Here is a 12,453-nt window from a genome sequence, read left to right as displayed (position 1 = left end):
GCCCACCTTGGCCTCCCAAAGTGCTGGGATTACAGCGTGAGCCACCGCACCCGGCCTATTTTTGCCTTTTTATATATTATTGACTCTATACAAAAAAAATCTTCTTTTACTTGCTTTTGTTTTTTTTGAGATGGAGTCTTGCTCTGTCACCCAGGCTGGAGTGCAGTGGCAGGATCATGGCTCAATGCAGTCTTGACCTCCCCAGGCTCAGGTGATCCTCCCACCTCAGCTTCCTGAGTAGCTGGGACTCCAGGTGTGCACCACCACCCCTGGCTAATTTTTTGTATTTTTTATAGAGATGGGGGTCTCTCTATGTTGCCCAGGCTGGTCTTGAACTCCTGGGCTCAAGCGATCTGCCCTCCTCAGCCTCCCAAAGTGCCAGGATTTTTTTTTTTTTTAAGATGGAGTCTCGCTCTGTCACCCAGGTTGGAGTGCAGTGGTGTGATCTTGGCTCACTGTATCCTCAACCTCCTGGGCTCAAGCAATCCTCCCGCCTCCACCTCCGAGTATCTGGCACTACAGGCATGTGCCACCATGCCCGGCTAACTTTTGTATTTTTCGTAGAAATTCAAGTGGGGTTTTGCCATGTTGCCCAGGCTGGTCTCTAACTCCTGAGCTCAAGTGACCTGCTTGCCTTGGCTTCCCAAAGTGCTGAGATTACAAGTGCGAGCCACCATCCCACCCCAGATTGGATAATTTCTATTATCCGGCTAGTCTCAAACTGACTCTTCTGTTATACTGTTATCTTTCTTCTGCTGTTAAGCCTATTTAGGGAATTTTTTATTTCTCATGTTGCATTTTTCAGTTCTAGAATTTCCATTTAGTTATTTTATTTATTTATTTGAGACAGAGTTTCACTCTTGTTACCCAAGCTGGAGTGCAATGGCGCAATCTCGGCTCATTGCAACCTCCTCCTCCCGGGTTCAAGTGACTCTCCTGCCTCAGCCTCCCAAGTAGCTGGGATTACAGGCACCCGCCACCATGCCTGGTTAATTTTTTGTATTTTTAGTAGAGACAGGGTTTCACTATGTTGGCCAGGATGGTCTCCAACTCCTGACCTCAGGCAATCCACCCGCCTTGGCCTCCCAAAGTTCTGGGATTACAAGCGTAAGCCACCGTGCCTGGGCCATTTAGTTATTTAGTTATTTTAGTTATTTTTAAAGTTTATTTTTCTTGACTGTGTGCTGGGATGCTAAAACAGTTACCAGATGACTACACAAACATGGACTGGATTTATATATACCATTGGCAGGCCACTGGAAAATTAATAAAAAACAATCCTGGCCTGCTGCTGTGGCTCCCGCCTATAATCTCAGCAATTTGGGAGGCTGAGGCGGGAAGATCACTTGAGTCCAGGAGTTCAAGACAAGCCTGGGCAACATACCAAGACCCCATTTGTAAAAATAAAAGACGAATGCATACATAGTGATAAATCAACTATAGCAAAATACTAATAATTGAATAATCTAGACAGTGAATATCCCTTCAAATTATCTGAATATTTTGATGAAAATTTCATCAAAATTTTCATGATGAAATATTGGAAAAAATAATGTAAGTCAACACAACAACAACAACAAACAACTGGCTGGGCATGGTGGCTCACGCAATCACCTGAGCCTAGGATTTCAAGGCTGCAGTGAGCCGTGAATAGCCACTGCACTCCAGCCTAGGCCACAGAGCGAGACTCTCTCAAAAAAAAAAAAGAAGAAGAAGAAAAAAGAAAAAAACATTAAAAATGAGCAAAGAGGACGAGCACGGTGGCTCATATCTGTAATCCCAGCACTTTGGGAGGCCAAGGTGGGCAGATCACCTGAGGTCAGGAGTTCACGATCAGCCTGGCCAACGTAGTGAAACCCTGTCTCCACTAAAAATACAAAATTAGCTGGGTGTGGTGGCAGCCACCTGTAATCCCAGCTACTCGGGAGGCTGAGGCAGGAGAATTGCTTGAACCCAGGAGGCGGAGGTTGCAGTGAGCTGAGATTGTGCCACTGCACTCTAGCCTGGGGGCCAAGAGCGAAACTCAGTCTCAAAAAAATAAATAAAAATAAATAAATAAATAAATAAATAAGCAAAGAGGCTGGGCACAATAGCTCACACCTGTGATCCCAGTACTTTGGGAGGCCAAGGCTGGCCAATCACTTGAGGCCAGGAGTTCGAGACCAGCCTGGCCAACCTAGCGAAACCCATCTCTATTAAAAATACAAAAATTTGCTGAGTGTAGTGGCGGGCGCCTGTAATCCCAGCTACTCAGGAGGCTGAGGCACGAGAATCACTTGAACCAGGAGATGGAGGTTGCGATGAGCCAAGATCGCACCACTTTCACTCCAGCCTGGGTGACAGAGCAAGACTCCATCTCAAAAAAAAAAAAAAAAAAAAAAGTCAGAATGAGAAAAATACTTCATCCCCACTAGGATGTCTATACATTTTAAAACCAGAAAATAACAAATGTTGTTGAGGACGTGGATAAAGTAGAACTTTTATGGGAACCTGGTGGGAATGTAAGATGCAGCTGTGGAAAAGTTCAGTGGATCCTCAAAACCCTAAACATAGAATTACCATGCGCCCCAGCAATTCCTCTCCTCAGTATATACCCAGAAGGGCTGAATGCAGGAACTGAAGCAAGCGCATTACACCCATGTTCACAGCAGCGCTATTCACAGCAGCCAGAGGGTGGAAACAACCCAAGGACCCTGGAGGGATAAGTGGATAAACAAAATGTAGTCTGCACATGCAGTGCAGTGTTATTCAGCCATGAGCCCCGCTCGCCGGGGGCTGGGAGTTCAGGGAAGGGCAATTACTGTGCAATGGTTACAGTTTTCTGATTAGGAAAGCTCTGGGAATGGTCGCGGAGAGGGTTACACAGCCTTGTGGATATCCTTAATGCACACTTGTATTGCACACGTAGAAAAGGTTAAAATGAATCTGGGCAAATAAGTGAGACCCAGTCTCTACAAATATACAAAAATTAGGTACACATGGTGGATGCCTATGGTTCCAGCAACCAGAGGCTGAGGTGGGAGAATCGCTTGAGCCCAGGAGATCGAGGCTGCAGTGAGCCATGACTGCACCACTGTACTCCAGCCTGGGTGACAGAGCAAGATCCCCTCTACCAAAAACAAACAAACAAACAAAAAGGTTAAAATGGTAAATGCTATGCTGTCTTTATTTTACATTTAAAAACATAAGTAAAAATAATAGAAGGGCAAAAGGCTGAGGTCAGGTCACCTGCCCACTGAAATGTCTCAGTGTCGCCCAGTGTCCAGCCAGTTCTCAGGCCCAGACCTCCTCTGCTGAAGTCTCCTTCCCATGAGGAAGGAGCCAGGAACACCATGAAAGGTACTTCTAGTAGTGATTCCCCTCATCCTTTCACGAAGGGGCCTGTTTCCGCTTACTCAGGTAGCTGTGCGCTGGGGAAAGGGAAAACCCAGATCTTTTTAGTGCTGTTGGATACTGGCTCCAAGTCAGCACTGATTCCTGGGACCCAAAGTGCCCTCATGGCCTCCCTGCTAGAGCAGGAGCACAGACAGCCGGGCAGTACGCAAAGTCCTGGCCCAATTCCATCCCACAGTGGGCCCAGCAATTCATGAGCTACTCACAGGTTATTTCTGCAGTTTCTGAATGCATAATTGGAATAGACATATTTAGTATTTGGCAGAACTTTCACAGTGATTTCTAACCTGTAGAGTGCCAACTGAAAAATCACACAATTTATAAATTTAGAAAGGAGACTTTATTTATTTTCTTTTCTCTAGAGACAGTCTCACTCTGTCACCCAGGCTGCAGAGCAGTGGCACAATCATAGCTCACTGCAGTCTCAAATTCTGGGGCTCAAGAGATCCTCCCCTCTCAGCTTCCCAAGTAGCTGAGGCCACAGGTGCACGCTACCATACCTGCTAATTTTTTTATTTTTTGTAGAGATGGGGTCTCACTATGTTGCCCAGACTGGTCTCCAACTCCTGGCCTCAAGTGATCCTCCCACCTCAGCCTTCCAAAGTGCTGGGACTATGGGGTTACAGGCATGAGCCCTGTGCTCTGCCAACTTTATTTCTTATAAAGGGTTATAGCCTGCAAGGCGGCCAGGCTGGGAAGTGTAGCCTCTCGCAGAGATCAAAAGACAGGCATGTTTAGGATGAGAGCGGTGAAACAGGAATTTATGCTGAATAGGAGAGCCAAGTATACATATATATATATGTGTATATATATGTGTATATATGTGTATATATATGTGTATATATGTGTATATATATGTGTATATATATGTGTATATATATGTGTATATATGTGTGTATATATGTGTATATATATATGTGTGTATATATATGTGTACGTATATATATGTGTATATATATGTGTACGTATATATATATGTATATATATGTGTGTGTGTGTGTGTGTGTGTGTGTATATATATATTTTTTGAGATGGAGTCTCACTTTGTCTCCCAGGCTGCAGTCCAGTGGCACGATCTTGGCTCAATGCAAGCTCCACCTCCCAGATTCACACCATTCTCCTGCCTCGGTCTCCTGAGTAGCTGGGACTACAGGTGCCCGCCACCACGCCCAGCTAATTTTTTTGTATTTTTAGTAGAGATAGGGTTTCACCGTGTTAGCCAGGATGGTCTTGATCTCCTGACCTCATGATCCACCTGCCTCAGCCTCCCAAAGTGCTGGGATTACAGGCGTGAGCCACCGCACCAGGCCAGCCAAGTATACATATTTAACAGGATCTAGGAGGAGCTGTGAATATTCATGAAGGGGGAACATGTGCATATGTGAGAAGCAAATACGCATGTCCCATGCAGCCATGTTTACTTTGGGGCGGAGACTTCACATTTAAATGCATTACAATTAGGCCCTACACGTCAGAAGGTGAAGTAGGGACGGACGTGAAGGCACGCAAGTGTGCAGCCTCTGTAACCAGCCAGAACCAGTCTAGGGTGGATGGTCTTTTTATCAGAAGAAAGTTACTAAATCCAGTCTCATGTCCTATCAAAGCTGTAGTTGTGGCTTGTACAACAGGAGGGTCAGTGAGTGTCTGGCAGTGGTTGAGTTGTAATTGTTTTAATATTGTTTATCTTGAGGCTAGTGCTTGTTTAACTGTTAGAGGAAAAAAAAACCACCTGTGACAGAATATAGTTTCTTCTTTAAGTATAGGGGTGCATGACTTAATCCTTGCCTAGCATGGCCTTTGGTCCTGTTTATAATTTGGTATCGTTTTGCCAGAGTCTCTTCTGTCAGTCTTATGATCTCTATTTTAACATTAATGTTGGTCAGTTGTGCCTAAACCACAAAAGGGACAGGGTACAGCGAGGCATGTCTGACCTTCTGTCCTGTCATGGCTGTTAACTCAGTTTTTAAGGTTTCTCTGGGGTCCTTTGGTCAAGGGGGATCTTTTCAGTTGGTGGGAGTGCTTAGGATTTTACTTTCAGTTCTCAAAAGTGAGACCTGTTTTGCAATAAAGGCTACATGAAAGTTCCTGAACTGCCCCTACCAAGATAAAAAAAACAGTGCTGGCCGGGCGCGGTGGCTCATGCCTGTAATCCTAGCACTTTGGGAGGCTGAGGCGGGCAGATCACGAGGTCAGGAGATCGAGACCATCCTGGCTAACATGGTGAAACCTCGTCTCTATTAAAAATACAAAAAAATCAGCTGGGTGTGGTGGCGGGCGCCTGTAGTCCCAGCTACTCAGGAGGCTGAGGCAGGAGAATGGCGTGAACCCAGGAGGCGGAGCTTGCAGTGAGCCGAGATTGCGCCACTGCACTCCAGCCTGGGCGACAGAGCAAGACTCCGTCTCAAAAGAAAAAAATACAGTGCTGCGTCCCAGGAAGGATAGCAGAGCTTAGAGGTCTCAGTTGAAAATTGAAAGGATGGCCGGGAGTGGCTGGTCATGCCTTGTAATCCCAGCACTTTGGGAGGCTGAGGCAGGGGGCTCGCTTGAGCCTAGTAGTTTGAGACCAGCCTAGGCAACATAGTGAGACCCTGTCTCTATAAAAAAACACAAAATTTAGCCCGGCACGATGGTGCATGCCTGCAGTGCCAGCTACCCAGGAGGCTGAGGCAAGAGAATCACCAGGGCCCAGGATGGTGAGGTTGCAGTGAGTGTTGATCACACCACTGCACTCCAGCCTGAGTGACAGATCAAGACCCTGTCTCAAAAAATAAATAAATAAAGATTGAAAGGAGGTTGCAATGTGGTCTTTAGCAAATCCCAGTTTAATACATTATCTGGCTCCTGCAAAAACCAGTGGATCATGTTGTTTAATCCCAAAACTAGAAGGACACGCTGGGCGCGGTGGCTCACGCCTATAATCCTAGCACTTTGGGAAGCCGAGGCGGGAAGATCATGAGGTCAGGAGTTCAAGACCAGCCTGACTAACATGGTGAAAACCCATCTCTACTGAAAATACAAAAATTAGCCGGGCTTGATGGCACGCACCTGCAATCCCAGCTACTCGGGATGCTGAGGCAGGAGAACTGCTTGAACCCGGGAGGCGGAGATTGCAAGGTTGCAGTGAGAGGAGATTGCGTCACTACACTCCAGCCTGGGCGACAGAGTGAGACTTTGTCTCAAAAAAAAAAAGAAGGACACTTCCACAACTTGATAAAGGGCACCTATGAAAAATCCTCAGCTACCATCACACTCAATGGTGAAGACCGAATCATTTTCCTCTAAGATCAGGAACAACACAAGGATGTACACTCTCGCCACTTCAATTCAACATTGTATTGAAAGCTCTAAGCTGGGCACAGTGGCTCACGCCTATGATCCTAGCATTTTGGGAGAACGAGGCAGGTGGATCACCTGAGATCACGAGTTCAAGACAAGCTTGGCCAACATAGCGAAACCCCGTCTCTACTAAAAATATACAAAAATTAGCCAGGCGTGGTGGTGCGTGCCTGTAATCCCAGCTACCCAGGAGGCTGAGGCAGGAGAATCACTTGAACCTAGGAGGCAGAGGTTGCAGTAGGCCAAGATCATGCCACTGCACTCCAGCTGGGCAACAGAGTGAGACTCTGTCTCAAAAAAAAAAGAAAAAGAAAAAGAAAAAAGAAAAGAAAGCTCTACAATTAGGTAGGAAAAAGAAATAAAATGCATCAGTATTGGCCGGGCACGGTGGCTCACGCCTGTAAGCCCAGCACTTTGGGAGGCCAAGGAGGGCGGATCACGAGGTCAGGAGATCAAGACCATCTTGGCCAACATGGTGAAACCCCATCTCTACTAAAATACAAAAAAAAAAAAAAAAATTAGCTGGGTGTGGTGGTGCACGCCTACAGTGCCAGCTATTCGGGAGGCTGAGGCAGGGGAATCAAACCCAGGAGGCGGAGATTGCAGTGGGCCAAGATCACACCACTGCACTCCAGCCTGGTAACAGAGTGAGACTCTGTCAAAAAAAAAAAAAAAAAAAAAAAAGAACAAAATATTAGGGAACAAATGTAAACAAAATGAAAACTTAAACTCTGAAAACTACAAAACATTGTTGAAAGAGATCAAAGCACTAAATAAATGGAAGACATCTAATGTTCATGGCTTGGAAGAGTTAAATATTGTTGAGATGGCATTGCTCCGAAAACTAATCTACAGATTCAATATAACTCCTATTAAAATGCCAGCTGAAGCCAGGCATGCTGGTGAGCGTCTGGACTTCCAGCTATTCGGGAGCCTGTGGCTGGAGGATCACTTGAGCCCAGGAGATTGAGACCAGTCTGGGCAATATAGTGAGACCTTGTCTCTAAAAATAAAAAGGCAAAAAACGGGCAGGCGCAATGGCTCACACCTGTAATCTCAGCACTGTGGGTGGCTGAAGTGGAAGGACTGCTTGACCCCAGGAGTTCGAGACCAGCCTGGGCAACATAGCCAGACCTTGTCTCAATTTTTTTTTTGACTCCCTAGTAGCTGGGACACAGGCCTACGCCACCACGCCCAGCTAATTTTTGTATTTTTAGTAGAAACGGGGTTTCACCATGTTGGCTTGGCTGCTCTCGAACTCCTGACCTCAGGTGATCCGCCCATCTCAGCTTCACAAAGTGCTGGGATTACAGGCATGAGCCACTGTGCCAGGCCAGCAAGACCTTGTCTCTACAAATATATATATGTGTGTGTGTGTGTGTGTGTGTATACGTATATATATATTTTTTACAATTAGCCAGGCATGGTGGCATTTGGCTGTATTCCCAGCTACTCAAGAGGCTGAGATGGAAAGATGGCTTGAGCCAAGGAGGTCAAGGCTGCAGTGAGCTATGATCATGCCACTGCACTCCAGCCTGGGCGACAGAGTGAGACCTTGTTTCAAAAAAAAAAAGGTAAAGGCTGGGTGCAGTGGCTCACTCCTATAATCCCAGCACTTTGGGAGGCCGAGGTGGGCGGATCACCTAAGGTCAGACCAGCCTGGCCAACATGGCAAAACCTCATCCCTACTAAAAACACAAAAGTTAGCCGGGCATGGTGGCGGGCACCTGTAGTCCCAGCAACTGGGGAGGCTGAGGCAGGAGTATGGCGTGAACCTGGGAGGCGGAGCTTGCAGTGAGCCGAGATCGCGCCACTGCACTCCAGCCTGGGCGACAGAGCGAGACTCTGTCTCTGGAAAAAAAAAAAAGAAAGAAAAGGAAAAAGTAAAAACTGCCCACAGAATGAGAGAAAATATTTGCAAATCATATATCTGATAAGGGACTAGTATCTTAAATATACAAAGAACTCTCACAAACCGGTAATGAAGAAGAGACAAAAAAAAAAGCAGCCTCTGGGAGCCCAGCGGCCTGGGATGCCAGAGCAACTCCTCCAAGGCGAAGGGCGAGCGCCCAGCTCCTCTCACCACTATGAAAGAACACAACAGGGTGAGGCTTCTTTGCGATTTGGAGGCGGAAAAAACTTGGGAATACTGCCCAAGAAATTTGTGGGTGATATGGAGGATGCCAGCTTTTAGTAGAGCCTAGGGCAGTATGGGATTTGCTGCAGGTCCAGGCTGTGGTACCAGCAGCCCTGAGCCTGACCCTGTGACCTGACAGAGCCATGGCCAACGCTTGGCAGAGAAAGGTTTCATGTGGCGCCTTCAGCAGGCTGCAGTGGAAGGGTGGCAGTGCCCACTCCTAGGGTTCTGGAGCAAGGCCATGCCACATACCATTCACAAAATAGCCGGGCGTGGTGGCAGGTGTCTGTAGTCCCAGCTACTCGGGAAGCTGAGGCAGGAGAATCACTTGAACCTGGGACGCGGAGGTTGCAGTGAGCTGAGATTGCGCCACTGCACTCCAGCCTGGGAGACAGAGCGAGACTCCATCTCAAAAAACAAAACAAAACAAAACAGCTCCTTCCACGTTTCTGGGCCCTGGCAGGAACTGGGCATCTGACGATGGGCTACTGAGTGACCAGAAGGCTCATTAGAGCTGGGTATTGTCAGAGACACCCACTGGGTCTTTTATTTATTTTATTTTATTATTTTATTTTATTTTGAGACACAGTCTCGCTCTGTTACCTAGGCTGGAGTGCACTGGTGTGATCTTGGCTCACTGCAACTTAGCCTCCTGGGTTAAAGCGATTCTCCAGCCTCAGCCTCCCGAGTAGCTCGGATTATAGATGCCTGCCACCACGCCCAGCTAATTTTTGTATTTTTAGTAGAGACGGGGTTTCACCATGTTGGCCAGGCTGGTCTGGTACTCCTGACCTCAGGTAATCCACCCACCTTGTCCTCCCAGAGTGCTGGGATTACAGGCATGAGCCACCATGCCAGGCTTTATTTATTTTATTTTTTGAGACAGGGTCTTGTTCTGTTACTCAGGCTGAAGTGCAGTGGTTTGATCTCGGCTCACTGCAGCCTCGAACTCGTTCAGGCGATCTTTCAGGCGATCCTCTCGCTTTAGCCTTCTGAGTAGCTGGGACCCCAAGCACATGCCACCACGCCCAGCTAATTTTTTTATTTATTGTAGAGACAAGGTCTTGCTATGTTGCCCAGGCTGGTCTCCAACTCCTGAGCTCAAGCAATCCTCCTGCCTCGGCCTCCCAAAGTGCTGGGATTACAGGCGTGAGCCACTGTGCTTGGCCAAGCCACCAGGTCTCAAGGTACCAACCATCCACACAACAGAAGTGGCATTACGAGGATCAGCTCTCAGCAAGTCCAGAGGACACACGTAAGCTGTGAAAGCAGGTGACTGCCATCCCATGTGGCCTCACTTATGACATCTGCCCCACAGCTCACTCAGGCAGCCCTGAACGGCAGTGGAGCATGAGGGCAAAGACTCCCAAACGGCAGAGTTTCTGTGAGCACTGTGCCATCCACTCTGCAAAGGCAGAACCTGCAAGACCCACCAGCTGTAGCAAATAGTTGAGCTGGTTGGTTCAGGGACCTGGACAGAGCAAGATTAGAAGTTAAGAGATGAGGGCCTGGTGCAGTAGCTCACTCCTGTAATCCCAGCACTTTGGGAGGCTGAGATGGGCAGATCACCTGAGGTCAGGAGTTCGAGACCAGGCTGGGCAACATGGTGAAACCCCATCTCTATTAAAAATACAAAAAATTAGCCGGGTATGTCAGTGCATGCCTGGAATCCAGCTACTCAGGTGGCTGAGGCACAAGAATTGCTTGAACCTGGAAGGCAGAGGCAGGCTGCAGTGAGCCAAGATCACACTGCTGCACTCCAGCCTGGGTGACAGAGTGAGACTCTGTCTTGGAAAATAAAAAAAAAAAGAAAAGAAAAGAAAAGAAAAGAAGAAGGAGAAGAAGAAGGAGGAGGAGGGGGAGGGGAAGGGGAGGGGGAGGGTGAGGGGGAGGTGAGGGGGAGGGGAGGGGGAGGGGAAGGGGGAGGGGAGGGGGAGGAAGAGGAAGGATGTTAGGAGATGAGGACATCAAGAGAAGTACCTGAAGCTCCAGGGTGATGAGTCAAGGTGGCTCACGCCTGTAATCCCAGCACTTTGGGAGGCTGAGGCGGTCGGATCACCTGAGGTCACGAGTTCAAGACCAGCCTGGCCAACAGGGAGAAACTCCGTCTCTACTAAAAATACAAAAAAATTAGTTGGGCATGGTGGCACACACCTGTAATCCCAGCTACTCGGGAGGCTGAGGCACGAAAATTGCTTGAACCCAGGAGGCGGAGGTTGCAGTGAGCAGAGATTACACCACTGCACTCCAGCCTGGGCAACAGAGCAAGACTCCATCTTAAAGAAAAAACTTTTCTTTATAGAGATGAGGGTCTTGCTATGTTGCCCAGGCTGGTCTTGAACTCCTGGCCTCAAGTGATTCTCCCACCTCAGCTTCCCAAAGCATTGGGATAACAGGAGTAAGCCTCCATGCCCGGCCCTAAATCTTGCTTTTTGAATCATATCTTCTTTCTTTTTATTATTGGTAGCTAGAAGAAGCCAAGTAGCACCTTGAACTTTCTCTCTGGGTATGTCCTTAGATCATTTTATTCTTGGGAATACTATCTAGCTTCTATTTCCTATTTGGCTACAGGTGACAATGTTGCTAAACTTCCTGCCACTGCATAACAATGGTCTTCTTTCCTCCATCTTCCAGTAACAATTTCTTCACTTTCCTCTAAGTCCCCACTGTCAGCCTCTGCAAGGTCCTCCCAGCTCCTGGACACTGCCCCATCCCAAAGCCAATGTCACATGATTTAGGTTTTGTATCAGCAGCACCCACCCCACTTCCAGTACCAGATCCCGTTCTGCTTATCTATAGTTATATAACAAACCACATCAAACTTGGTGCAGTAAAAACACCCAGCATCATCTATTTTATTATATTTCATAGTCATGGGGCTTGACTGGGCTCAGGGAGGGGATTCTCAGTTTTGGTGTCTCCTGTGGTTGCAGTCCAATGGTGGCCGGGGCCAGAGCCATCTGGAAGGCTTCCTCACTCACTTGTAGGTGACCCGTGCAGGGGGTGGATGGGTCCTTCAGCTGGTGCTGCTGGCAGGAACACGCCTATCCTCTCCCGAGGCTGCCTGTGCCCCTCACAGCATGGTGGCTGGGTGTAAAGATCAAGCATCCCAAGATGTGTGAGAGAGAGAGAAGGAGTTGGGTTGCTGATCTGATCTGTGTGACTCTGTGTGTGACTTGGCCTCAGAAACCACACGATGTCAGTTCTGCTGCATTCTATGGATTACAAGCAAGTCGTGAAGGCCAGCCCATGTTTCAGGAAGAAACCCAATTAAACTCCCAAAGGGAGCAGCATCAGAGAACCTGCCAGCATGTTTCAGAGGCGCCAGAGTGGCCAGGCACGGTGGCTCACACCTGTAACCTCAGAGCTTTGGGAGGCTGAGGCAGGTGGATTGCTTGAGGTCAGAAGTTCTAGACCAGCCTGGGCAACATAGTGAGACCCTATCTATAATTTTTTTTAAATTAGCCAGGCATGGTGGCGTGTGCCTGTGCTCCCAACTACTTGGGAGGCCGAGGTGGGAGAACCTCTTAAGCCCAGGTGTTCAGAGGCTGCAGTGAGCTATGGTCACCCACTGCACTCCAGCCTGG

This window comes from Homo sapiens, chromosome 22 (assembly GCF_000001405.40).
Source record: "Homo sapiens chromosome 22, GRCh38.p14 Primary Assembly".
NCBI classification, from domain to species: domain Eukaryota; kingdom Metazoa; phylum Chordata; class Mammalia; order Primates; family Hominidae; genus Homo; species Homo sapiens.
The sequence above is the reverse complement of the archived record's forward strand: the minus strand, read 5'-3'. Positions refer to the sequence as shown.